The sequence below is a fragment of the Homo sapiens genome, chromosome 4, assembly GCF_000001405.40.
Source record: "Homo sapiens chromosome 4, GRCh38.p14 Primary Assembly".
In the NCBI taxonomy this organism is placed as follows: Eukaryota; Metazoa; Chordata; class Mammalia; order Primates; family Hominidae; genus Homo; species Homo sapiens.
Window position 1 is genome coordinate 38,787,107 of NC_000004.12, and position 26,815 is coordinate 38,813,921.

The following is a 26,815-nucleotide window of genomic DNA, read 5'->3' on the forward strand; positions in this document are numbered from 1 at the left end:
TCATTTGTCATTCATTTACTACATTTGAGTATAAGGAGAACATTTTAGTTCAAACAAATAAAATGATCCTGGCCGGGCACAGCGGCTCATGCCTGTAATCCCAGCACTTTGGGAGGCCGAGGTGGGTGGATCACCTGAGGTCAGGAGTTTGAGACCAGCCTGGCCAACATGGTGAAACCCTGTCTCTACTGAAAATACAAAAAATTAGCCAGGCATGGTGGCATGCACCTGTAATCCCAGCTACTTGGGAAGCTGAGGCAGCAGAATTGCTTGAAGCTGGGAGGCGGAGGTTGCAGTGAACCAAGATCGCGCCACTGCACTCCAGCCTGGGCAACATGAGCAAAGCCCGTCTCAAAAAAAAAAAAAGAAAAAAGAAAAAGAATAAAATAAAATGATCCTAGATACGTGCTAGGAACCTGAAAGACTTTGGAGAGATTTGGTAACCACATTAAAAAGACAAAAAGAGGTGAAATTAATTTTAATAATATATTTTATATAATTCACCACATTAAAATATTATTTCGCAAGTACTCAATATAAAAAATTACTAGCAAGATATTTGACATTCTTTTTTTATATAATGTCTTTGAAATTTGGTGTGTGTTTTACACTTACAGCACATTTCAATTCAGGTTTGTCACTTTTCAAGCATTCCATAGCCACATACGGCTAGTGGCTACCATATTACACAAACAGGACTAGAGCCTTAGGTTAATAAATGACAGTCCTACAATGAGCCAACAAACTTGAACTCTAATGCACCCACGAAACTTTCCCTAATGATACCAAATATTGACATTTCTCATCTCTCATTTTCCCATGTGCTACCCCTGACTCCCGCTCCCACTTCCCCTCTCAACTGACCCTGCTCACTCTGGGAATGGTCCTGTTGTAAGAGCCATCACTTAGAACCCACGTCCTCAGAAATTATCCCAAAGGCTTTAGGGGCAGAGAAGGAATATGTGTATCTATTAGAAGTGACATGGGGAAGAAAAGGAGGACAAATAAATATGAAAGAAAAATTAAAGAGGAAAGAGAGAAATGGAAGAGAAAAGCACTGGGAGGAGAGGATCAAAAGGGAAAAGCAAAAAAGAGAAAGAACAAGGGAAACACAAATAGAGAAAATTAGGATGGAAGGCAAAGAACAAGAGAGAAATGGAGAGAAAAGGAAGGGAGAAAATAAAATACAAGGCTAAACAAGGGAGCGGTAAAGAGAAAAGAGTACAGACAAAAAGAGGAAAGCCTGGATTTCTCATCCTGGTCTAGGTATTATTATAACTTTATTAATTAGTTGCTTAGCATTGCTCTTAGGCAGAATTCCAAGACTTAATCATATAACAAATATCCAAAAAGACATGTCAGCTTGAGGAATTCCCCTGGATTTCCTTGTTTGCATCCAAGCCACATGCCATTGTTGCTTGCACTGAATATGAACAATTATACACTGAATCATGCTTACTAAGATATATTTCAATACGTCCAGGGCTCTGCTAGAGCCAGCTTATACCAGCTCATAAGAGCCAATTTTTAATTTTCAAGAATTTTGTGAGCCAGTTGTTAAAAATAATCATTATTAAAAATGAAATCATATATACCTGCATTTAAATAAACTATATTTAGGGCCAAGTGCAGTGACTCGTGTGTAATCCCAGTACTTTGGGAGGCCAAGGCAGGAGGATCCTTTGAAGCCAGGAGTTCAAGGCCAGCCTGGGCAACATAGCAAGACCCCGTCTCTACAAAAAAATTTTTAAATGAGCCAGGTGTAGTGGCATGCCCATATTCCTAGCTACTCGGGAGGCTGAGGCAAGAGGATCTCTGGAGCTGAGGAGTTTGATGTTACAGTGAGCTATGATTGTGCCACTGCACTCCAGCACAAGTGGCACAGCAAGACTCTATCTCTAAAATAAATAAATAAATAAATAAAGCTATATTTAAAACAAAAGTAGTAAATACTCAGAACTCATCACTTCCTAATTATTTGACTGTATATTTACCATCATTATGTTCTGGGAGTTATTTTTGTCTACTGTATCTGTTATGGTGGAAACACTTTACAATGAATGGTATACTGCACTTTTCTTTCCAACTCCACCTTCAGCGATGTCATGTTGGTACCTTGAAATCAACCATGGTAGGAGTATTTACACCATAAAATTGGCAAACACTATAAATTAGGACTTTAGTTATTGTTTTGTTAATTTTCTAGACTTACAAAAGTAATGAAGAAAATGTTAATAATTTGTCAAAGCATTTTGTTTTTCTGCGAATCTGTTGTTAAACATTTACCAGCACACTACAGCAGCTGGTATCATTTATATCTGATTTAAAAAGAAAGCATTTATCTAACTCAATGGTTTACTTTTTTTTTCTTTTTCTTTTCTTTTTTTTTTGTTGAGCTGGAGTCTAGCTCTGCCGCTCAGGCTAGAGTGCAACGATGTGATCGCCTTCCAGGTTCAAGTGATTCTCATGTTTCAGCCTCCCAAGTAGCTGAGATTACAGGCACGCACAACCATGCCCGGCTAATTTTTGTATTTTTAGTAGAGCCGGGGTTTCACCATGTTACCCAGGTTGGTCTTGAACTCTTGACCTCGGGTGATCCACCTGCCTCGGCCTCCCAAAGTGCTGGGAATACAGGCATGAGCCACTGCATCAGGCCTCAATGGTTTACTTTTTAAAAGAGCAATATTTTGGCAGAGATTTATATATGAACTCTTACTTTTGGTTAAATTGATGTTCAGTGTTTACATTATTATGATCTATGTAATGTTGGGCCTCACTAAAAGCTACATTATACACTATGATTACAGTCTATGATTATGCTTTTTGGTTTTCTTGTAGTTAATAATTGCCTTGTATTTTATTTTGTTAGTTTTCAATGCTTCTATGATAATTTTCCTCACATTCCCAAATAGCTCTCAAGTCAAAAAATGTAATATAATGAAATCTATCAAATAAACAATCACCTCTCTCAAATTACTGTCTGTCATTTTGCTCCAGCATGCATTGGATTTCTGCAGAGCTGACATCCTCTGACTTTGAGTTGTTGCTATCCTGGAAAGCTGTTGCTCCTCTCTGCTGTATTAGATCTCTCGTTTCTTGGGATGCACAGCATCTCCTTTCTTGGTTTTTATCTGTTATAGTGGAATTCATCATCCAGTAGTTTCCCGAAAGAATGCATTGATGGTTAATTTGGAGGGAGAACTTACATGTCATGCCTCATATTTGATTGACTGTTTGGCTGGATATAAAGTTATATGTTGCAAATGATTTTTCTATACAATTTTGAAGGTATTGTTCTGTAAGTTCTAGCTTCTAGCATTGTACTGAGAGATGCATGGTTATTCTGATTTCTGATTCTTTGTATGTAACCTGGTTTCTTTTTTCTTTCTCTCTCTCTGGAAGCTTTTACTATTGTTGTTCCTGATGGTCTAAAATTTCAAGAGAAAGTGCCTTGGTTTGGGTCTTTGAACTGTTCGTTTTGCTGGGTACTTTTAGGAGATTCATGTCCTTCAGTGGGATTTCTCCGTCTTATTATTATTATTTTTTTTGATAATGTCTTCACCTCATCTCTTTTTCTGATTCTGGAACACCTATTAGATGGATGTGGACTTCTCAGAGTTAGGCTTTTACTTATTTTTTCTCTTGCAAAATAAGTCATTTTGTTCTAATTTCATAGAAATTTCTTTAACATATTTTCCAATGCTTCTATTTCTTTGGGTAAGGGGCTATCAAACTTTTTAAGTTCTAAGAAACGTCTGTAACTTCAAGTTGTCTTAGAGGAAAGATGAACATCCTCATAGGTCTGCCTGTGACTATATAATTACCGGTGGCACTTCTGTCCCCTGGCTCTCAATCTTGTTTGGGACCTTGTTGATTAATTTTGACAATTAATTTTTATTATGGCTTGTCATTCACACGGGTGGGTGTTTATCTGGGGAATTCAAGAAGCAACTGTGTCCTAGTAGGATGAAGTCCATCACACAGTTCCAGAACAGCCAAGGAGGGCAGTGCGAGCTTGTCCAAAGTGACAGGGAGCTACCAGAAGAAGCAGTTCAGAAGAAGAGAATGTGAGAGTCAGCCAGGAAGTCCAGCTCTTCTCTGAAATCCTCAGGAGGAACTGTTTTCCTGTAAACACAGGGGTTGGGGACTTGAGTCATTTTACTTAAAATGAAAAGGAAGTGGTAACCCAAAAAATGAGAAATCTTGGGGACACTTGGGCTGCATTAATGAGGTTGAAATTTTTCATAAATTCATTTTCTAACTGGATCCTGTTTTGGGCTGACCATGCTTATTGCCCACATATCAATGGAGATCTTAGTGCTTTTCTATTTTATTCTATTAGTTCTTGATATACATGAATTTTATCTATGATATTTGCTAACAGTTTACTTCCCAATTTCTTATTTCCCCATTTGCCATTTTTAGTTGTTTTGTTTGCCTCATTTGTTCATTCGCTTGTTTAACATGGAGCTGTTCCCAGTTTTTCTGTAACTTTTGTCTCTTTTCTGATTTTATTTCATCTTAGAAAGCCCAGGATAATCTAGATGAAACATGATCAGCACTTCAGCTCCAGTTCCATATTTGTTGGTATAATAAGGACAAGAAGAATGATGATAATGACATAATAATAACTCTAACATTTATTGAGCTTTTGCTTAATGCCAGGAACTGTTCTATAGACATTATATGTATTAACTCACTTAATCCTCGTAACAATAGTATGAGACAGGTATTTCCATTACTCTCATTTTACGTCTCCACAGTAATAAAGCAGAGAAGGAGTACATAACCACCCAAAGTCACTAGAAGAAGGTGGAAGAAGCAAAATTCAGGTGGAGGTCCGAGATGCTTCTCTTCCCCACTGTGTCTGCCACCTCTAGAGTGAATAGCCATGACCCTGAGATAAGTCAGTTACACACATTGTACCACCGATTTCTAAAACAACCATATGAGAGAGGTACCAGTATTATGCCCATTTTATAGATGAGAAAAAGGAGGCTAGGAAGGGTGAAGGAATTCATCTATGGACAGAGGATTTGTGCCCTCTCTTTTCTCTTCTACAGAGAAATTGAGCCAGGATTTAATCCCAGCATGCCGGTTTACAAAGCCCAGCTTTATAACCTTTATTTATTCTCTATTGTTCCACTGGAGAGACCTATTTTTGGTCTCCTAAGCCCCATTTCCTTATTTGTTTGTTGTAAATTTTTCAAGTACAGAAAAGTATAAAAACAAAAACAAACACCAGTTGTAGGCAAGCAGTGATAATTTTTTCATATTTCATCTAGACCATTTTCTATGCATATTTTAACCTAGTTGAAATCATAGTGTACATATACTTTTGTATCCTATGCTTTTTATTTATATTGTAATATAAGCATAGCTCACTGCAGCCTCGAATGCCTGGGCTCAAGCGATCCTCCTGCCTCAGTCTCCTGAGTTGCTGGGATTACAGAAACTGTGCCACCACACCAGGCCCTATACATTTTTTTAAAAATTGTAGTGAAAAAGACATAACATAAAAATTACCATCTTAATCCTATACATTATATTAAATGGTTGTACAATATGTCATTAAACACATTCCCCCATTGTTAGAAATTTGGAATGTCTCCAATTTTCCATGGCTGCTAATAACCTCACAGTTAACATACTTATAAATAAATATTTGTTCACATTTCAACTTATTTCCTTAGGATAAATTCCTAAAAGTGGAACTGACAGATCAAAGAGCATGAGTATTTTCAAATTATATATATATATATATATATATCTCCAAATTACTTTGCCCTCCTATTATTGCCATATGAAATGCCCATCCCACTGCAGTCTCGCTAGTATAGCAGGCTGATAAAATGGAACTAGGTTAGTCTCAATTTTGGTGGAGGTCCCCCGAGTGAGGTGTGAGACTAGATAACTGGTTTTGTGACCTTTGCTAACTACCCATCTCTAGCCAATAAAGGGGATTGGAGAGACTGAGAGGAGTTATACATTAGAAGAGCATTTTGGAGAGAGGTTTTGGTATATTATGAGTTTCATTTACCCTCAAGAAGGATGGGTGGGGTGTGCTCCCTCTGACCTAGGTCCTAGGGAAAGGGCTTCAACAGTACCACTTGGAAAGCTCGCTATGTGAAAACTGTAGTTTGGGAGACATATTTGACCAGTCTTTTAATTTATACTTGGAAATCTAAAGGTCTTGGCTAGCTACTCTAAGACTATATTTTACAAATAATGAAATCTATGCTTAGAAAGTTTAAGTAACTTGTCCAAGATCATCTGCAAATACATGACGGAGCTAGAATTGAAACCCAGACTTGATTAAGGGCTTGCATATTTACCCATTCTGTAATACTTCCTCTCATTTATCTGTGAAATCTCTCTTATTTTCATTGATATTTATCATACTTTGGCCTGAATTCTTCATCTTCCAACTTTGAATTCTTTGGCAGGAGACTCCACCAATACAATTTCAACCTCCCGCCAGCATCCTTAAAACCACTTATGAGATCAGCTATTTATGTATAGGACTGATCTAACGTCTAAAAATTTTGAGTTTATTAAATAAACTCTAAGTGACTTTAGGTTCCTTTCAGGGAATTCTTTTTCGGATTTACAGGGTGTAACAAGTTGAATTGTGTCTCCGAAAATTCATATGTTGAAGTCCTGAACCCCAGAACCTCAGAATTACCCCTTCCTTGGAAATAAGGTTGTTGGGAGATGTACTTAGTTAAAATGAGGTCATTAGAGTGGGCCCTAATCCAATGTAATTGGTGTCCTTATTAAAAAAAAAAAAGAATTTTGGACACAGAGACAGACAGGCATAGAGGGAAGACGATGTGAAGAGACAGAGAAAAGACAGCCATCTATGAGTTAAGAAAAGAGACTGGGTTGTCCACAGTAGAAATGGATCCTTCCCTCTCTCCTCTCAAAAGCAGCCAACCCTGCCAACACCTTGATTTTGGACTTTCAGCCTCCAGAACTATGGGAATAAATTTCAGTTGTTTAGGCCACCCAGCTTGTTAAAATAGACTTTGTTAAAATAGACCTTGAAAACGAATACATAACTGCTTGCTGAGTAGTTGAAACTTGGTTATGAAATCTTGAAGTTCAATACAGAAAGTGCAATCATCCTAGAGAAAATGGGAAAATCCAGTTCTTACAATTTTTGCAATTCCATTACAGAACAATAGTTCTCCTATTTTTAGCATACATTTCATGGTTTGAATTTGCCTCCCACTATTATGCTTCAAAGAAGTTTAAATAATGACTTTCCTCTATTTTCAAGCTCTAACTCCGTGGTTTGACTTTCAAGATCCTTGACAATATAGTCTTAATATAACTTTCCACACTCCTATCCTACTGTTGTTTTTCATGAACCTCACGGTCCAGTCAAACTGGGATACCAGTCCAAGAATAGGCCTGGGTATACCTGCCTTTGCTCTCTTTATCTTTCTGTTTAGAATGGCCTTTCCATTCTTCATCATTACACATTGAAAAATCCAAAGTTAAAGTCTTCCTTCAAGACCTAATGGAAAAAAAAAAAAAAAGACACATCATTTCTAAGATTTTTTTTCACTCAATTTAAGCAACCTCTGAACTTCCATTTTATAGCTTTGTTTCATTGATTTTTATTTTAGTTATTTGGATATGTTTAGTGTTCTCTGATTGACTGTAAGTTCTTTAGGCCAAGAAGCTAATAGATATGTATGTGTTAGTTGGGTTCCTTCCCACTCAAAAAAGTAGAGACTGAGATGAGAGCTTTGTGGGCTGGTCATTTGTAGGCTTTTTGGTTTTTGTTGCTTTTTATTTTATTTATTTTTTCTAGACTCCTTGAGTTAAGGAAAGGTCGCTTGTTTGGAGCAGCGATCTCAGGACTCAAGAGTGACCCGAATGAGAAGAGTGACCAAGGAAGAATGGAAAGTCAATGCAAAACCAAGTTACTGAGCTGGTTACCCTGTGGGTAAGTAAACCTCAGTGCCACTAGGGATTGTCTGAGAAAAGGTATCAATTACACCTCATTTTTTAACCCAAGAATAGAAGAAAGGAGCATGTATATAATGCTTCCCATCCCGTAGTGTTATCCCTTGTGCTTCCAGGTTTGTGCATGTATCAGAATGGTAGAACAGGCTTCTACAAGCATCCCACGCAGTGGTATCAGTGAAGTCATGGGGCATAAAGTGAAAGATACATGGTGTAGTTATGACAAGGTTTTTGTCAAGACTACACCTGCCCAGAGCTGGCTGCTGGAGTAAAAATGTAGACTGACAGGATGTTTGATGGGTATGAAAAGCATCAGATATATCCATTCCTTACACTGCCCCATCTGCTCATGCTCTACTTTAATAGTTCCCCAAAGAGACAGATGCTATATATAGAAGCACCGTATATCAACTATATTCTTCCTTCTAATCAAAAGAGCAAAGGCTCTTGTGCATGTTAGTTCATACAACCAGAATCTCAGCGAGATCTCCAGTCATGGAAAACTAGACTCAGAATTTTCATTTGGACTGAGGTGGAACACTTTCTTGGTCTGGGCTCCCTCATAAGCAGCCCCTGAGACAAATATTCAGTGGCAAGTAGTTTATCACAGAGGTGATCCCATGGAATACACATGGAGGAATAAGTAAGTGAGAAAAAAATGGGAAGGAAGCCAGTCGAGAATACTTAATCAAGCCATTTCTACTGTGGACAACCAGAATTTTATCCTACTGGGGAACTCAGGGAGAGTGTAAAGTATACCCCATTTTTTGATTTATCTCAAAAAATGAGTGAGAAAGTTGGGATATTTATCCACCAGCTCTTTCTGACATTGGTTGAGGGCTGTTTCCAAGGACAATTTCCAGCACTTCTGAACTGCCCTTTGTGTGGGCATGATGGTGGGGGGTTGGGGAGGAACCTTCAGGCATAGTGTCTCCAGCTTTATCAACGAGCAGCCATCAATAAGTTGAGTTGAATGCACCATGGATATGAGGAAAGCATCAAAAGCTGTAGAAATCTGCTATACAAACCCAGCTATATTCACAAAAGTCACGGCATTTTCCAATATTGGCCATGATACACTAGAACACACATCACTGAAGAAAAACAGGTGCTTCCCTTGACTTCATGATAAATTCAGAACTCAGTTATAGCAAAGAAACAAGTGGATCCCTTATGTGTCAGAACTGTTTAAATCAAAGTTATATCATTTCATTAATTTTTAATACCACATATAAATGGTGAACTGCGACCCGAAGGTATATATTTTTACCTACATCATACACTCACAATTGTGTTTACATCTATGCTGATGCAAAATAAAGTCATTGTTGGAACTTCCAAAAGCAGCAATATCAACAGGAGGAATATTTTTCACTTGATGTGTAATCTATTTCTTTGCTTGCTCTGTCAGCTTAATATTAATGGCTGCCCTTAAGTTAGCCCAAAAAAGGCCACGTTTGCTCTTTTCCTTGGGCCATTCCAAATAAGTCCTCCTGGCCATGAGACTTTTGAGCTTGTGATAACTGCTAGGAATGGAGTACTGCGGAATGGGTTCCAGCAAGATCAGGATTAAGCTATTAGATCCTTCATGAAAGAGATTGTGATGGGCAAAGTAGAGTTCATAATGGCACCATTCACTCTGGACAAAGTTGGGAGACAAAACAAAGATGGACTTGTAACTCTTCTCAATGCAGGTGATGATATTTTCCACAATGCTCTTGCCAGGAACAAAGTTTCTCTCATGAAGGCAAATCTGCATACCTTCTTTCTCTAGGTTTGGCAATAATTCATTCTTCACCCAGAAAGAATCGTGCCCACTATATGAAATAAATGCATGAAACTGGAGATTTCTTTGGAGTTCTTCTAAGGGTATGTTCCTGGCCCTGCGCCGGGTCTGGGTCCACTGGCACACCATCCTGAGATACCAGGGCAGATCCAAGTAGCTGCAGAGGGAGGTCACAGTCACAGCCAACACCAGCATGGTGGCAACGATGGTGACGATCAGCAGAGTTATGTTGCAGGATAATTCAGACATGTGAAAGTCCTTTAGTAGGGTTCCTCTATAACTTTCCGGGTAGTCACACTTATAAGAATCAGGCCAGCCCTCTAACACTTCACTTGATACTTGGTCTATATTTTTGACAAATTCTCCTAGCTCACAGGTACATTGGAATGGATTGTCCCCTGCTTTTATTGACCTCATCTTCTGGCAGCTCTGGAAGAAATCAGCCGATGGGTGGGAAACTGAATTGTGATCAATGATCAATACAGAAAGGCTGCTAAAGCTGCCACATCCAGGAAGGTCAGTTAAAGAATTGAAAGCAACATTGAGTTCTTGCAAAGCTTCCAGTTTTACGACTTGTTTAGGAATGCTCTTTATTTTATTGCTGTGAAGATCAAGTACCTTGATCCTGGGAGGTAAACATCTGAAAATAGTGTCAGTAAGTATATTTGAAGACATATTTAAACTTAATAAACTTTTAGTCCAAGAACAGTCTCCTTTCTTTTCATCATAGCTTACAGAATTCTGGCTAATATCCAATTGTTGCAGAGACTTCATCTGTGTAGTCATTTCAGCTATTTTTGAAAGTTCTTTTAATTGATTCATTTGTAAAATAAGTGTCTCCAACTCAGTAAGGTGCCCACAATTTTCAAAAACCGTGTCTGTTAAGAGATTATTGGAAAAATCCAAATGCAGGAACGGGCTAATTTTGGATGGGCAAAGCATGTGGACCATGCGTGTACCAGACACTGTGAAATTTTTGATGTTCATATTCGAAAAGATTTCATAGATATAACTTTGCGGAAAACCGAACACATCGCTGACAACTTGGTGTATAGACAAGGCCTTCAAGGAAGTGCCAGAATAATCAAAATCTCTGAAGTCCAGCTGACCCTGTAGCTTCACGTTTGAAATTGAGAAATACCATACAGTTGTATGCCAAACCAGCTGGAGGATCCTAATGAAAGAATTCCAAGTTGTTTCAATGTTGTTTAAGGTAAGATTTGATAACTTTGGATTTGTTTGAAGTTTCGCCAGAATACTTAGGAAGTAAGAACATTTGTTATCTTCTAGCACACATTTGATATTAGATAGTTCCAGATTTGCTACAGTCTTGACTGACACATCCAAAATAAAATGGAATTCTTTGTTTGTGGGGAACACAATGTGCAGACTCTCAGTGTTAAAGTCTTGAAGGCCCTCAGGGTCTTCTTTTTCCCCATAAGTCTCTCCTAAGACCAGCAAGACCTTGCTGATATTCAAATGAGCAATTGGCAGCACACTAGATTTTTCTAAGTGTGTGGTGCTCAACCCCAGAAATTTTAGTTGAGACATATTGCCAAACTCTTTGCATATAGGCAGGGCATCAAATGCATTAAATGACAGGTCCAAGTGCTTGAGGTTCACAGTAGGGTGGCAAGAAATCTTCACCAACTTGTTGTGGGACAAATCCAAGTATTCCAATTCCTGGTTGAATTTGAAAACACTGATATCAAGATACTGGATTCTATTATGAGAAATTATCAAAATCCTCAGTTTTGACAGTGATAAGATGTCAGAAGTCCAAAGCTCAGATATATAATTTTGCGATATATTTAAGATTGTTGTTTTCTGGGATAGGTCTTTAGGAACGTGGATGAGACCGTTTTTTGACCTATCAACTAAAAATTCACTTTCTTCAGATAATTGTATTCTGATCTGAAGTATTAACATGAAGATAATGGCAAAATGGAAGATGCTAGTCATTTTGGAACACTAGACATTCCTAAAGGTAGAAGCTGTTCTTCAGATCATCTTGATACAGATACAGATTCTAGAAAAAAAATAATGAAATGATGAAATACATTACATACATTTTTAAAATACACGAAATTAGTCATGGCTGACATTAAACTTTTTTTTGTTACAGACTTATAAAGTGGAGGCTACATTCTTTTGGGTTACATGGCCTAAAACTAGAGAAGTATATATATTGGTAAATAATGATGCCAGCTCTAATCAAATAAGTTTTAATATGGATGGTGTAATAGGTTGAATGGTGGCTCACCAAAAGATATGTCTACATCTTAACCATGTCCTAATCCCCAGAAACCATGAATGTTACCTTCCTTAGAAAAGGGGTCTTTGCAGAGATAATAAAGTTAAGGATCTTGAGATGAGGAGATCATCCCAAATTATCCAGGTGGTCCATAAATCCAATGACAAGTGCTTTTTTAAGAGAAAGGCAGAGGGATATTTGACAAAGAGACAAGAGAAGAGGCAATTGAGACACAGAGGAGAAGGCCTTGTGACAGTGGAGGCAGAGACTGGAGTGCAGCAGCTACAAGGCAAGGAACATCAACAGGCGCCAGAAGCTAGAGGAGGCTCTGGAGTGATGGTGGCCCTGCTGACACCTTGAGTTTCGACTTCTGCTCTCCAGAACGTTGAGGGCAAAGCCACCACGTTTATGATCATCTGTTACAGCAGCCTCAGGAAACTAATACAGGTGGGTTCATAGAAAGTTTTCTGGCCCCAAGCTTCCCAAAATTATTTAGAACTCCAGCTAAGACTCAACTGGTGTACTTTCACTCTTTGACGTACATCTCCCCATGACTTTCTCAAGAGGTGTTCCTAATGGTGGTATTGGGACTGCTCTTCTATTACCCTTTATGACCTATACACGGTTTGGGTCTAACTTTGGTCTTACTCAAAAGGTAATTAGATCCTGATAAAAGGCCTCTCAGAAGATCCATTTATTCATCCATTTATTTATTCAACCAGTATTTATTGATCACCTACTGGCCATGTTTTAAGAACTGGAGATAGAGCAGTGAACAAGATAAAGTCCGAATTCTCAAGGAGTTTTTATCTAGTGGGGAGACAGAAAATAAATGAATGACTAAACTCAAGTTCCTGTAGTGATAAGTTCTGTAGAGAAAAATAAAGCAGGGTAAATTGTAGGTATGAGACAGTGCTTGGGGGTGGCTATTTTTGAGTGATTAGTTAGAGAAGGCCTTTTTGAGATGATGACACTAGAGTAGAAATCAAAATGAAGTGAATGAGTAACCTATGGGAAGATCTGGGTAACCTACAGCATTTCTGGCAAAAGAAAAGGCAAGTATAAAGGACCTGAGATGGAATTGAGCTTGGCTTGTCTGAGAAGGAACGGGAAGGTCAATGTTAGTAAGGAGTTAGGGAAGATGAGAGGAGTTAGGGCCAAGATCACTCAGGCTTTGTTGATCATTGCAAGGAGTTGGGATTCTATTCCAAAAATGATGAGAGGGTGGAGAACACTGGGAGGTTTTGAGAAAGGGAGTTGTTTCCTCCTCTCTCTTATTCAGAATACTTTTTTCATTCATTCATCAAATATGTATTTATTCTCCATGCAGTGGTAGGCACTGTTCTAGGTTATGCCTATTGTACCAGTATTCAAACTGCTCTAGCTAAGACACCATTTTGTGGTCAGCATTCCAGTGGCGTATGAGAACAGAGGGAGCTGTGTTGGGATGAACTCTAGAGTGTGCAGTCCTCACCTCCAGAGACCCTTTCAGCCGTGATTACACAGCTACCCAGTTCTCACAAGGAACTTATTCAAAATCCCCTAGAACCATTAGACAAGCAGGGCATTAGTATCAGCAAAGCACCAAATTCCTCTTCACATATCCCCTCCCATATCTCAATGAGCACAGAGAACCTAAATAATTTAGCTGCTACAAACAACCCTCGGTTACAAAAGTTCCCCAATTTAGATGTGCAAACTTATCTGGGTTTTGGAGCCTTCCTTGGACTTACCCTTTTGTAGGGGTGCCCAATATGCCTTTGTTATCCTGATTTCTTCTAACGAGGAAGAGGGCCTGGTACCCCTATTAGTGTTCATGAAGACCCTGAGCAAGGAAGATGATGCAGACATTAATGTTCATGTTAAAAGTCAAGGTGGTGTTTTTATGACATTAACTGTATTTGGCTGAAAGACCCGGAAATTTCCCAATTCTTCCTCTCCAGCTTCCTTAAAGAGCTACTCACACAAGGAGCAATATTTCAATGGATGTTATAGCTTGAATGTTTGTGCCCTGTGAAATTCTTATGTTGAAATCCTAACCCCCAAGGTGATGGTATTAGCAGGAGAAAATTGTGAAGTAATTAGGTCATAAGAATAGAGCCTTTATGAGTCAGATTAGTACCTTTATAAAAAAGACCCCAGAGAGCCTCAGGCTGTCATTCTGCCATATGAAAATACAAGAAGGAGGCATCCGCAAACCAGAAGAGGGCCTTCGCCAGAACCCAACACTACCACCCTGATCTTAGACTTCTACCTTCCAGAACTGTGAAAAGTAAGTGTCTGTTGTTTATAAGTCACCCATTCTGGTACTTTGTTACAGCAATTTAAACAGACTAAAATAATGGGAATAAAAATAATACCCTGGGGCAGTGCCAAGCTAGGTCGAAGCAAAAGTGGCCTGGTCTTAAGGCCTAAGTGGGGTTCCCTGCTTATTCCTATGCCTGAATCCAGATCAAGGCTCTTTCCACCTCCTAGCCAACTCCAGAGTTCATGGAAGCAGTGATCAGCACAGTCAGGCGTGGTATTCAAAAGTGATCAGAGGCACACAGGACCCCGTGCATGAGTGCGAGAGCTTGGCTCGCAGAACCTACCACACGCAAGATGAAAGTTGTCCTTTTTCCCTTAACAACAGCTATCATCACAAAAATATATAAATTTATATAACTGCCTGCCCCCAAGTGTTAGAGTAGGTACTTAGGCAGACATGAGCAGGACAGGAGAGGGGCCCCCCAACCAGGAATATCAGGTGACCATCAGGTGATGATCAGGCAGTTGTTAAACAGTCTCTCTAAGCCGGGGGCCATGGCTCACGCCTGTAATTCCAGCACTTCGGGAGGCTGAGATAGGTGGATCACTTGAGGTCGGGAGTTTGAGACTAGTCTGGCCAGCATGGTGAAACCCTGTCTCTACTAAAAATACAAAAATTAGCCGGGCGTGATGGCAGGTGCCTGTAATCCCAGCTACTGGGGAAGCTGAGGCAGGAGAATTGCTTGAACCCAGGAGGCAGAGGTTGCAGTGAGCCAAGATCATGCCATTGCACTCCAGCCTGGGCAACAGGGCTAGACTCTGTCTCAAAAACAAACAAACAAAAACAAAAAAACAGTCTCTCTAGAATAATAATTGTTTGCAGCCAGCATCAGGGAAAGTCAGTCTCCTAATAGATAGAAAACACACCTGAAGCTGGTGGTTAGCAGACTCCTGACAAACTCTCAGGAGCTGGGCAAGCAGGCTTGAGCATGCATACCAAGAGGCAAAATGGCGGACTTCAACGGGTATGTGACCTTCCTCTAGGAAGACTTGTCTGGCAAGGGAAAAATGTCTCCAATGAGCATGTACACAACTTCAGTAAACACAGTGTGTGTGCAGCCCATCCCAAGGGCTGGCAGGCCACTGCACATGCAGACAGCCCACCCCAAGGGAAGAATCAGGGGAGAAGAGACGCAAGACTCCAGAAGCCTGCCAACAAATAAGCCCCAAGTAATAGGTTAAACTGGGCACTTGGATCTCTCAAGTTGCCCACTTGGCCCTCCTCCAAGTGTACTTTATTTCCTTTCGTTCCTGATCTAAAACTTCTTAATAAACTCTCTGTAAGGAATATGGCTGTGCTTTGGTCAAGGATAGGCCAAGGTAAACATCCAGAGTGACTCAGCGAGTTTAGAGCGCAGGCGTATAACTCACTTTTTATCATAGCCATGTAGACATAACATAGAGAAGCTTACCATAGCCATAACATAGGGAAGGTTCATCCCTTGGCTCTAAGCCACTATTGTCCGTAAATGGTATAATTGCCCTGCTGACGCTGTACAGGTGCATTGGCAGCCAGAGAAAGAGAGAGAGAGAGAGCCAAAGCTGTCCATCTTTGCAGATGGACTGAGGGGAGCCAGGACACAGCTCGGCTTGCTTGTACCCAGAGAGAGAAAGAGTTAAGCTGCTGACCCTGAGGGCAAGGGAGAGCCGGACGCACAGTTGTGTGTGGAAGCTGCCGAACTAAGCAGCCAGGACAAGGCGGACAGTCTGAGAGAACTACTGTAAGTAAGCTGCTAATGAGAGCTGTTGCTGAATAAAATCACCTTTCACCTGCCTACGGCCCCCTGAGTGTTCTTTCAGCTATCTGCTCATCCACCCCCTCCCCTCAGACCTCAGTATGGGCTGGAACCTGGCCCTGGGCGTGACACTCTCTCTCTTACTCTAAAACTTGCCTCGGTCTCTCACTCTGCCTTATGCCCCTCACACAAATTCTTTCCACTGAGGAGGCAAGAATTAAGTTTCTACGACCCATATGGATTCACCACTGCTAACGCAAGCATTTAATGAAAGCATAGCTTCAGTTTTATGTCGAGCTAAATTAATTGACTCAAATATCTTCTATTTGCCTAACCTCCATCTTGCCCTTTCATTTAAAGTCATTAATTTTAAGTACTCAGTTTATGAAACCATTCTTATTTCTATAATTAAGAAATCAAAATGTTATACACAGGAATAACTGATTTTTAATACTTCCAGGATCTTTGAATTTTATATACCAAACTTGCTAAATCCATGAAAATCAATGTCTCAGTTTCCTAGACCAAAGAATTTTTTGATCAACGTCTTAATGACCATGACTGAGCCTCATCTATTTTAGAACCTTTAAACTCTTTTACTATCCAAAAAATAAGCTGAGCAGAAAAGGATGCTTTAATTTGAAAGTGTAAAATGCCTCTAGGTGAGCTTCTGTGAATTTTCATTATTATGATAGGTTTAGCCTCACATTATATGATACAATGAATCAATACATTTAATTTGTCTTCTTTTGGAGACTTTGGAGGCATCAAATCAAGGCTTTGACTGGTCTTAATGGACAATACCCATACAATCTATCTGGCCCATTAAGTTTAGTCCTGTAAATATTTACTAAGGGCCTTCTCTGCACAAGACCAAATAGCTATTAACCAAAGGTTAAAAGAATCTGAGACAGTTCAAGAACTGTTCTGCTTTGCTTTCTATGCGGTTTTGTGAACTCTTGCTTTGTTATAAAACAAATTCACTTTCAAGTCTTTTGACCAAATTGGATGTAGCCTGGGAAACATTTTCAAAACCTGCAATTCTACCTCACGTCTAGCTCCCCAGAACAGTGTTAGTGGCCTGAGAAACAGAAGGACTAGCTAGTGGGAAGGCCCCAGAGAGAAAAACTGAAACAAACCTGGCCACAAAAACAGAAGAGCTGAACAGCAGCATTGCCTCCGGGAGTAACTGACTTATATCTCATTTTCTTTAACACTGAGAAGAGAATACAAATGGCGGGATTAGGTGAAGAGAAATGCTGTCAAAATCAACAACTAGCAGCTGCTCTGGAAGAAAACCAGAAGACGTGTGTGACCCAAATATTCATTTCCCAACTCAAAAATATTTCCTATAAGCAAATCACACACGAGGTGTTATTCCCAGAGGAGTGTGGGGACTTTCTCTGATTTAGGACTCAGAACTGATACACAAATGCCAGTACAAACTACACAGTAACTATATACATATCAGAAATATAACCCACTTAGAAAAACACCCAGGACTTACACAGATTTTTGAGACTTCTGTACTTAATAACTAGCTATACAATTATTTTCTTTTACAAAAGAAAAGAATGTGTTGCTTACCAAGACAACCTGCTTGTCTGTTCCATTTGGCAGTCTGTAAGAAATTCAAGCACTTCCTTGAATTTATTTCACTGTTAACCACATTTGGTGTTGAAAACAAAACAAAACAAAAAGGCTGTTTTATGCCACCTACCGAATTCCACTGGAATTACATTACATAGTTAAGAATAAACTTATTTTCTCTTATTCATATGTAGCATAGTCTGTGGGTTACCTGATAGGCCTGTATTAAAATAGAATCACGTTTCTATGGTTCCAAATTTCACTACAGTCAGTTTACTATTGTCTACACTGATGAAGTAAATGAGGTAATGTTAATAATCCACAGATCATAATTGGCTGAATTCAAAATGCTTACCGTGGTGGCTATGCTTGGCAGAAGTGTGCGTCTGGGTGTGTTTCGGCTGCTTTGTTTTTCCTCTTGCCTTTTCATCCATCCACTATTAAAAGTGGAAAGAGGGAGGGGTCGAGATTAAAGTTTTGCTGAAGCACACTCGTAAAGAGGGAAGATCATTCATGTGCTGGTTACAGGATGGATGTTAATCACGTCTTTTTTGACAAGTTGATTTTCAGAGAAAATTTGGTGCTGAATTTTTTTCCACTGATCTTTTCAAGCTTTCTTCAAAACATATTTTTGTAAACCCTAAGTGAAAAATATGCTAAGAAGAAAAGAGATTCTTAGCGTGTTTTTCACATAGGGTTTATAAAAATCCTGGGGTTTGTTGACAGCATGTTCAAGGAAGACATTCTGATAGCTCTACTCTTGCCTTTTCCAGTAATGACAACAACAAAATAACAACACAATAAATGGGCAAATAAAGCTATGGGATTCCAGCTGACTGCCTCTGAAGTTGATCTCAGCCTGCATGGTGTCCAGTCAAAACCGGATGTGGGGATGACAAAACTGCCTCCCTTCCTTCCCTCCACGGTTCTCTCCCGTAATCAGCTTTTCTACCACACAGCGAGCAAGGCCAACTTCCCTAAACTAAGAATGCTGAGATTCTTTTCGACTTATAATGTTCTGACTGTCTCTCTCTGTTTCCCCTTACCTCAGAATTTGTTTAATAGAGGAAATATGTTATGTCTACAGATATTTTCTGAAACTGAAAGAATGAAACCACCCACCTGCCATTTCCTCCCTGAGACCCATAACTGGACAGGAGGGAGGTGTCTTTGACTAAGAATTTAGTTCCTGGCTCCCAAAGGCATTGACTTTGTGAATCCAGGCTGAGGGAGCAATGCCCAGGGGAGGGAAGTGGGCAGGGCAGTAAGGGAAGCTTCTCAGCACTCTGAATTCCTGTTTTTCCCCACAGACTCATCCCCACTACTCCCAGTTGTGTACATGATTACAAGTGTGTGTGTCTCTGCCCACCCCTAGCCCATACCTGGGCATTTCTTTTTGGATTCAGGGCAGTAAAAATATGCTGTCAATTAGATGTAATCTGTAGTTAGTTGTGTTTTTTTTTAACAAAACCTTATTGATATATAATTCACAAACCATAAAAAATTTCACCTTCCATAAAAAATTTCACAAACGATAAAAAATACACCCGTTTAAAGTGTATAATTCAGGCCGGGCATGGTAGCTCATGCCTACAATCCCAACACTTTGGGAGGCTGAGGCAGGCAGATCACCTGAGGTCAGGAGTTTGAGACCAGCCTAGTAGAGAAGGCGAAACCCCGTCTCTACTAAAAATAAAAAAAATTAGCCGGACGTGGTGGCACATGCCTGTGATCTCAGCTACTTAGGAGGCTGAGGCAGGAGAATCGCCTGAACCCAAGAGGCGGAGGTTGCAGTGAGCCAAGATCACACCACTGCACTCTAGCCTGGGTGACAGAGCAAGACTCTATCTCAAAAAATAAATAAATAAATAAATAAATAAATAAATAAATAAATAAATAAAATAAAGTGTCTAATTCGGAGGCACCTACCTGCCTCTTTTTCCCCCTGCTGTCCAGTGGGTCACCACAGAACAAACACACACTTGTAATCATGTACACCCATCAATCAACAAACACACACTTCCCCTCTACCTCTACACCTCTACCTCTACCTACCTCTACCCCTACCCCTACCCCTACCCCTACCCCTACCCCTACCTCTACCTCTACCTCCACGGTCTCCCTCTGATGCCGAGCCGAAGCTGGACTGTACTGCTGCCATCTCGGCTCACTGCAACCTCCCTGCCTGATTCTCTGCCTCAGCCTGCGGAGTGCCTGCCATTGCAGGCGCACGCCGCCACGCCTGACTGGTTTTTGTATTTTTTTGGTGGAGACGGGGTTTCGCTGTGTTGGCTGGGCTGGTTTCCAGCTCCTAACCGCGAGTGATCCGCCAGCCTCGGCCTCCTGAGGTGCCGGGATTGCAGACGGAGTCTGGTTCACTCAGTGCTCAATGTTGCCCAGGCTGGAGTGCAGTGGCGTGATCTCGGCTCGCTGCAACCTCCACCTCCCAGCTGCCTGCCTTGGCCTCCCAAAGTGCCGAGATTGCAGCCTCTGCCCGGCCGCCACCCCGTCTGGGAAGTGAGGAGCGTCTCTGCCTGGCCGCCCATCGTCTGGGACGTGAGGAGCCCCTCTGCCTGGCTGCCCAGTCTGGAAAGTGAGGAGCATCTCTGCCTGGCCGCCATCCCATCTAGGAAGTGAGGAGCGCCTCTTCCCGGCCGCCATCCCATCTAGGAAGTGAGGAGCGTCTCTGCCCGGCCGCCCATCGTCTGAGATGTGGGGAGCACCTCTGCCCCGCCGCCCCGTCTGGGATGTGAGGAGCGCCTCTGCCCGGCCGCCCATCGTCTGAGATGTGGGGAGCGCCTCTGCCCTGCCACCCCATCTGGGATGTGAGGAGCGCCTCTACCCGGCCGCGACCCCGTCTGGGAGGTGAGGAGCGTCTCTGCCCGGCCGCGCCGTCTGAGAAGTGAGGAGACCCTCTGCCTGGCAACTGCCCTGTCTGAGAAGTGAGGAGCCCCTCCGCCAGGCAGCCACCCCGTCTGGGAAGTGAGGAGTGTCTCCGCCCGGCAGCCACCCCGTCCGGGAGGGAGGTGGGGGACAGCCCCCGCCAGGCCAGCCACCCCATCCGGGAGGGAGGTGGGGGGGTCAGTCCCCCGCCCGGCCAGCCGCCCCGTCCAGGAGGGAGGTGGGGGAGTCAGCCCCCGACCTGGCCAGCCACCCGGTCCGGGAGGTGAGGGGCGCCTCTGCCCAGCCGCCCCTACTGGGAAGTGAGGAGCCCCTCTGCCCGGCCAGCCGCCCCGTCCGGGAGGGAGATGGGGGGGTCAGCCCCCCACCCGGCCAGCCGCCCCGTCCAGGAGGGAGGTGGGGGAGTCAGCCCCCCACCCGGCCAGCCGCCCGGTCCGGGAGGTGAGGGGCGCCTCTGCCCGGCTGCTCCTACTGGGAAGTGAGGAGCCCCTCTGCCTGGCCACCTCCTCGTCTGGGAGGTGTACCCAACAGCTCATTGAGAACGGGCCATGATGACAATGGCGGTTTTGTGGAATAGAAAGGGAGGAAAGGTGGGGAAAAGATTGAGAAATCGGATGGTTGCCATGTGTGTGCAGAAAGAGGTAGGCATGGGAGACTTTTCATTTTGTTCTGTACTAAGAAAAATTCTTCTGCCTTGGGATCCTGTTGATCTGTGACCTTACCCCCAACCCAACCCTGTGCTCTCTGCAACATGTGCTGTGTCCACTCAGGGTTAAATGGATTAAGGGCGGTGCAAGATGTGCTTTGTTAAACAGATGCTTGAAGGCAGCATGCTCATTAAGAGTCATCACCAATCCCTAATCTCAAGTACCCAGGGACACAAACACTGCAGAAGGCTGCAGGGTCCTCTGCCTAGGAAAACCAGAGACCTTTGTTCACTTGTTTATCTGCTGACCTTCCCTCCACTATTGTCCTATGACCCTGCCAAATCCCCCTCTGCGAGAAACACCCAAGAATGATCAATAAAAATAAATAAATTAATTAATTTAAAAAAATGCATTCAGGGAATAACATGACAAGAATGTCAGCAGAAAACTAGAAACTATAAAAAAGGATCATATGGAAATTCCAGAACTGAAAAATAGGATACTGAAATTAAGATTTGCAGTTATTAAAATCACAGACTGTGAGCCACACTGCCCAGGTTTAAGTCCGGGCTCCAGTCTCTGCCATGTACAATGCCAAAAAAAAAAAAAAAAACACACACACTTGTAATCATGTATACCATGCGTTGACACAGCCTCATTTCCCAGGGAAAACTTCCATTCTCAGAGAATACAGCTTCTTTTTAAATTTTTAAAAATATTTTATTTAGCCTAATACATCCAAACATGCAATGAATATAAAACATTATTAATGAGGTATTTTATATTTTTTCATTCTAAGTCTTCAAAATCCACTGTGTGTTCTACACTTACAGAATATCTCAACTGGGTTATACCATTTTAGGCACTCAATCACGTTTGGCCAGAGACTACCATATTGGACAATGCAGGTTTAGAATAGCATTATCACAGCCATGCAAAGAAGTACAAGCCTAAGTCCAGTTAACAGCAGCCCACAGAGTTAATTCAAAATAAAGACTTCATACTTTATACTCTAAGCAACCCCATACATCTCTTCATAGCAGTTTCTCCGCCCACCCCTATCCCATACCTGGGCACTTCTTTTTGGATTCAGGGCAGTAAAAATATGCTGTCAATTAGATGTGATCTGTAATTAGTTGTTGCTTGTTTTTTTTAACAAAGCTCTATTGAGTTATAATTCACAAACCATAAAAAAATTTCACCCATTTAAAATGTGTAATTCAATGACTAGGCATATTCACAGAGTGGTGCAACCATCACCAAATCAATTTAGAACATTTTCATTACACTAAAAAGAAACACTATACCCCTTAGCTATCACCTCCACTTCTCCACGTATCCAAGCCCTAGGCAACCACCAATCTACTCTATAGATCATACTGGTCTCTATAGATTTGTCTATTCTGGATATTTCACATAAATGCAATCATATAAAAAGTGGCCCTTTGTGACTGGCTTCTTTCACTTAGTATAGTGTTTCCATGGTTCGTCCACTCAATATTTCATTTTTAATTTTTTTATTGCCAAATGATTTTCAAGTGTATGTGTGTACCATATTTTATTTATCCATTTATCAGTTGATGGATATTATGGCTCTTATGAATAATGCTGCCATTGACATTCGCGTAAAAGTTTTTGTGTAGACATATTTTCTCTTGGGTATATACCTAGGAGTGGAATTGCTGCATCATATGGTAACTCTGCATTTGGCCTTTTGAGGAACTGCCAGACTGAAAGCAGCTGTACCATTTGTTCTATGAAACAGCCATATAGGAAAAGCAGCCCCCAAATGCCCTAGGAGCTGAGAAACCAAAGAACGAAGCAGACAAATCCAGTTTGTCAGTAAAGGGTGATTTATTTGGGGAACTTACCCACAGAAGCATGGTCAAAACAGGAGCAATACAGGTAGATCTCTGCAGGATTACTATCCAGACCCAGGACTTATAGACACCTTATATAGGGAAAGGAAGTACATGCTCTATAGAGACAGCTAAAGGCCACCTTCCAGAACAGGCGAGACTGCTATGTGCACCATAGCCTATAATATGTGTGATAACATCAATGTTGCTTTGATCTAAAATCAGGATCTGTAGTGAGTTCATGTTCTTACACTAAGGACAGGAAATAAAGTAGGAATCAGGAGGCATTCAGGATACTGGAGCTAATCAGAAGTCAGCATGGTGGATTAGCTTCCAAGATAGAGCCCCTTTTGTCTCCACACTCCACCCCTCTAATCCGGCTCTTACAACCTCAAGCGCCCACCTCTTCCATGATGGGTCCTGAGCCAGGGGGCTGCTGCAGTCATTTTGGGGATGTGGGTGACACATTGCATCAGTTTCTTTTCTACTTGTAAGCAGAGGCTGCAGCAACAATACAAACAACAGGCAATGATACCTGTGTCAAGTATGAGACACAGAATTAATCATGCCTTTGCCACCATATTTTCCAGAATCCAAACCAAGAGGCATTTTGCAGGGCAGAGCAGCAGCAGGAACAGAAGACTATGGGAGGAAATACAAGTCTCGAGTAGGTACTTGGCAGGGCAGTTCTTCCCCATCAAGCAAAATGGCTGTGGTAGCTTCATCTCTGTTAGTTATGACGCAAGCAGCCCAAGGATTATGGGCTGAGGGTGCACACCAAACGGGTTGCCTGAGGGGCGAGGGTAAGGTCACAGGGGCAGCAAAGGACCATACCAAGCAGCCACCAGAGTGCCTTTTAAAAAGGGCCATGTTCAGTGTATGGGTATGTGGAGCGTCTTGGTCCAGACTCCAGCAGGATCAATGAAGACCTCTTTAGTTGCCAAGGAATTCCCTATTCTGTAGCAAAAAAAAAAATACCTTATCCAACCTGGGGGAGATTGCCAGTCAAACTTCCATTCAAGTGTTCCCTCCTCTGCCTCAAGGTCTTGGGGAGTCCCAAATAATATTTGCTGTTGGCCTTTTATCAGCTCTGGTAGAAATTTGTCTGGCTGGACTTTCTTTGCCACTGTGGTTAATGGACCATCCTCTACGGTGGTCCTGAGTTGTTGGTGTGGTGCCAGCCGTATATTTATCTCAACTGAATTAAAGTTTCTAAGGCCTTTGAGGTAGGAGGCAGGACTCGACTCCAGGGGCGGGGCTCAGACACTGGACCAGATTGAGGACTCACTAAAACAGGGCTGGGGTGAAAGCAGCTTTCAATCAGACACACCCACCAGCGTGCCACGTCAATTTACCATTGCCATGGCAACAGCCAGACATTACCACCCCTTTTCATGGCAATGACCCAATGATTACTACCCCTTCCCTAGAAATTTCTGCATAAACTGCCCCATAATCTGCATGCAATTAAAAGTGGGTATAAATATGACTGCAAAACTGCCCTGAGTTGCTACTCTGTCTATGGGGTAGCCCTGCTCTGCAGGAGCAGTCAGGGAACTATAATACCACCAGAGATATAACACTGCCTGTTCAATAAAACTGTTTTCTTCTACCTCTGGCTTGAATTCTTTCCTGGGCAAAGGGAGAAGCCAATTCTGCTGAACTTAAAAAGGGATACCTAAAAGGCCCGGTTAGAATTATCAGGAAACAAATGTGGTATGATCTGATCTCAGCTGGAGTAGGCAAAGAAAAAATAGATCAGCAACCCAATGCCAGAATAGTGGGCCTTTGAAAAACCTGATTCTTGATCAACAGCTTAGACCCCTTCCTACTGTCTATAGTGAGTACACTAAGGATAGTAAATAAAGTAGGAATCAGGAGGCATTCATGGGACTGAGGCTAATCAGAAGTCAACATGGTGGATTTGCACCCAAGATAGAGCCACTTTTGTCTTGATATCATTTTACATTCCCATCAGCAATAGTTAAGAGTTCTAATTTCTCTACATCCTTGCTAACTTGTGAGGCTGAGGCAGGAGAACTGCTTGAACCCGGGAGGTGGAGGTTGCAGTGAGCTGAGATTGCACCATTGCACTCCAGCCTGGGCAACAGAACAAGACTCTGTCTCAAAAAAAAAAAAAAAAAAAAAAGTCTTCTGATTCATGGGCATGGGATGTCTTTTATTGATTTTGGTCTTTAATTTTTTCAATGGTCTTATATAGTTTCAGAGTATATGTTTTGTATTTCTTTTGTTCAGTTTATTTCTAAGTATCTTTTGATGCATTGTTTTTCAAATTTTTGATTTGTTCATTGTTGCTGTATAGAAATATCATAGATTTTTATATAGTGATGTGTATCTTGCAATCTTGCTGAACTTGTTTATTAGTTCTAATGGTTTTTTAGTGGTGTTACAGACTAAATGTGTGTGCTCCTCCAAAATTTATATGTTGAAGTCCCAACCCTCAATGTGATAATATCAGTTGGGAGGTAATCGAGTCTTGAGAGTGGAGCCCTCATGAATCGTATTAGTGCCCTTATAAAAAGACCCAAAGAGCTCACTAGTCCTTTTTCTGCCATGTGAGAGTATAAGAAAAGACAGAAGTCTACAACCCAGAGAAGGGCCCTCACCAGAAGACAACCATGCTGACACTCTGACCTCAGACTTCCAGGCTCTAGAACAATGAGAAATACATTTATGTTGTTTATAAGCCACTCAGTTTCTAGCACTTTTTATAGCAGCCCAAATTGACTAAGACAAGCAGATTTCTAAGTATTTTCTATAAAGAAAATAATGTCATCTGCAAATAGAGGCAGTTTTACTTCTTCCTTTCCAATATGGATTCTTAACTCCTAATTGCCCTGGCTAGTACCTCCAGTAAAATGTTAAATAGGAGTGGTGAGAGCAGGGCCAGGCACAGTCGGTCACACCTGTAATCCCAGAACTGTGGGAGGCTGTGGCAGAAGGATCACTTGAGGCCAGGGGTTCAAGATCAGCATATGCAACATAGGGAGACTCTGTCTCTACAAAAATAAAAAAAAAAAATACCAAAATTAGCCAGGCATGGTGATGTGTGCCTAAAGTCCCAGCTACCCGGGAGGCTGAGGTCGGGGCATGGCTTGAGCCTGGAGGTCAAGGCTGCAGTGAGTTATAATCACACTACTGCTCTCCAGCCTGGGTAACAGAATGAGATCTAGTTTCAAAAAAATGTAGTGGGAGCAGACATCCTTATCTTGTAGCTGATGTTAGGGCAAAAGCTTTAAGTATATGTTTTACCATTAAGTACAATGTTAACTGTGAGTTTTTCCATAGATGCTTTTTATCAGTTGAGAAAGTCCTCTTTTATTCCTAGCTTGTTGGGTGTTTTTATCATGAAGGAGTAGATAGTATGGTTTCTTAATCAATAAGGAAGGAAACAAATGCTGTGGGCACAGTGTCATAATTTGTGAGGTGCTTCTTGCAGTGAGGTTAGCACTCACATCAATTGTGCAGAATAGTGATCTTCCTTTCCCTCTTTTCCTCCCTACTGCCCCTACACAATCCTATAGTTTCTCTTACCCACCTGATCCTAGAACTTCAAAACTGCACCCTGTAAACGTGTTGGGAATGAGAAATGTCATCACATTTACATTTACCTTTTAATAAATTCTCCCTTAATGATCTAAAGTTTTCCAGTCAAATTTTTGAAATTGCCACTGATATATCAGTACCTGAGTAAATATTAGGTCATGACCAGCCACCCTCAGCTCTGTCTGAGCAGA

At 41.5% G+C, this 26,815-nt stretch overlaps 1 protein-coding gene across 11 annotated transcripts, besides 12 other annotated features; it reads right to left on the reverse strand.

Moving 5' to 3' along the window:
• Positions 1-462: 462 nt before the first annotated feature.
• On the reverse strand, positions 463-18,538 carry TLR1 (toll like receptor 1). 11 transcript variants are annotated; one of them, XR_925165.3, is made up of 5 exons: positions 17,648-17,685; positions 17,200-17,276; positions 13,751-13,842; positions 9,265-11,792; positions 463-4,125 (listed from the first exon to the last, which is right to left on the reverse strand). XR_925165.3 is itself a non-coding variant. In XM_005262662.6 (5 exons), the coding sequence occupies exon 5, from the start codon at positions 11,723-11,725 to the stop codon at positions 9,365-9,367; it is 2,361 nt and encodes a 786-aa protein (XP_005262719.1). In that variant the 5' UTR covers positions 11,726-11,792; positions 13,751-13,842; positions 17,200-17,276; positions 17,648-17,681; positions 18,006-18,538; the 3' UTR covers positions 9,149-9,364. The 11 variants fall into 11 exon arrangements, 7 of the variants coding, with proteins under 7 accessions (XP_005262719.1, XP_016864060.1, XP_011512044.1 ...); XR_925163.3 differs by lacking the exon at positions 463-4,125 and adding an exon at positions 4,618-7,522; XM_005262662.6 differs by lacking the exon at positions 463-4,125 and adding an exon at positions 18,006-18,538 and having other exon boundaries at positions 9,149-11,792; positions 17,648-17,681.
• Positions 863-1,032: an enhancer, noted in NCBI's record as "experimental_79956/79957 CRE fragment used in MPRA reporter constructs". NCBI's record gives its function as "activates a minimal promoter by MPRAs in K562 erythroleukemia cells, with activity observed for the non-introgressed 4:38789675 or rs73236616 variant allele {active_cell/tissue: K562}" and the evidence as "EXISTENCE:reporter gene assay evidence [ECO:0000049][PMID:34662402]".
• Position 948: a transcriptional cis regulatory region, noted in NCBI's record as "Neanderthal adaptively introgressed variant 4:38789675 (GRCh37/hg19 assembly coordinates) or rs73236616 in the experimental_79956/79957 CRE". NCBI's record gives its function as "modulates activity of the experimental_79956/79957 enhancer by MPRAs in K562 erythroleukemia cells {active_cell/tissue: K562}" and the evidence as "EXISTENCE:reporter gene assay evidence [ECO:0000049][PMID:34662402]".
• Positions 15,522-15,816: an enhancer, noted in NCBI's record as "tiled region #13104; HepG2 Activating non-DNase unmatched - State 24:Quies, and K562 Activating DNase matched - State 9:DNaseU". NCBI's record gives its function as "activates a minimal TATA promoter and a strong SV40 promoter by Sharpr-MPRA in HepG2 and K562 cells {active_cell/tissue: HepG2 | K562}" and the evidence as "EXISTENCE:reporter gene assay evidence [ECO:0000049][PMID:27701403]".
• Positions 16,885-16,934: an enhancer, noted in NCBI's record as "active region_21449". NCBI's record gives its function as "activates an Ori minimal core promoter by ATAC-STARR-seq in GM12878 lymphoblastoid cells {active_cell/tissue: GM12878}" and the evidence as "EXISTENCE:reporter gene assay evidence [ECO:0000049][PMID:35858748]".
• Positions 17,171-17,340: an enhancer, noted in NCBI's record as "experimental_79971 CRE fragment used in MPRA reporter constructs". NCBI's record gives its function as "activates a minimal promoter by MPRAs in K562 erythroleukemia cells, with activity observed for the introgressed 4:38805983 variant allele {active_cell/tissue: K562}" and the evidence as "EXISTENCE:reporter gene assay evidence [ECO:0000049][PMID:34662402]".
• Positions 17,171-17,557: a biological region, named in NCBI's record as "Neanderthal introgressed variant-containing enhancers experimental_79971, experimental_79978, experimental_79983/79985 and experimental_79990".
• Positions 17,207-17,376: an enhancer, noted in NCBI's record as "experimental_79978 CRE fragment used in MPRA reporter constructs". NCBI's record gives its function as "activates a minimal promoter by MPRAs in K562 erythroleukemia cells, with activity observed for the non-introgressed 4:38806019 variant allele {active_cell/tissue: K562}" and the evidence as "EXISTENCE:reporter gene assay evidence [ECO:0000049][PMID:34662402]".
• Positions 17,284-17,453: an enhancer, noted in NCBI's record as "experimental_79983/79985 CRE fragment used in MPRA reporter constructs". NCBI's record gives its function as "activates a minimal promoter by MPRAs in K562 erythroleukemia cells, with activity observed for the introgressed 4:38806096 variant allele {active_cell/tissue: K562}" and the evidence as "EXISTENCE:reporter gene assay evidence [ECO:0000049][PMID:34662402]".
• Positions 17,388-17,557: an enhancer, noted in NCBI's record as "experimental_79990 CRE fragment used in MPRA reporter constructs". NCBI's record gives its function as "activates a minimal promoter by MPRAs in K562 erythroleukemia cells, with activity observed for both the introgressed and non-introgressed 4:38806200 variant alleles {active_cell/tissue: K562}" and the evidence as "EXISTENCE:reporter gene assay evidence [ECO:0000049][PMID:34662402]".
• Positions 18,516-18,685: an enhancer, noted in NCBI's record as "experimental_80014/80015 CRE fragment used in MPRA reporter constructs". NCBI's record gives its function as "activates a minimal promoter by MPRAs in K562 erythroleukemia cells, with activity observed for both the introgressed and non-introgressed 4:38807328 variant alleles {active_cell/tissue: K562}" and the evidence as "EXISTENCE:reporter gene assay evidence [ECO:0000049][PMID:34662402]".
• Positions 22,163-22,332: an enhancer, noted in NCBI's record as "experimental_80021 CRE fragment used in MPRA reporter constructs". NCBI's record gives its function as "activates a minimal promoter by MPRAs in K562 erythroleukemia cells, with activity observed for the introgressed 4:38810975 variant allele {active_cell/tissue: K562}" and the evidence as "EXISTENCE:reporter gene assay evidence [ECO:0000049][PMID:34662402]".
• Positions 23,725-23,894: an enhancer, noted in NCBI's record as "experimental_80029 CRE fragment used in MPRA reporter constructs". NCBI's record gives its function as "activates a minimal promoter by MPRAs in K562 erythroleukemia cells, with activity observed for the non-introgressed 4:38812537 variant allele {active_cell/tissue: K562}" and the evidence as "EXISTENCE:reporter gene assay evidence [ECO:0000049][PMID:34662402]".

What these genes read in the sequence shown, in the direction of transcription:
- TLR1 (XM_017008571.3), bottom strand. Translation starts at nt 11,725, where the DNA reads ATGACTAGCATCTTCCATTTTGCCATTATCTTCATGTTAATACTTCAG.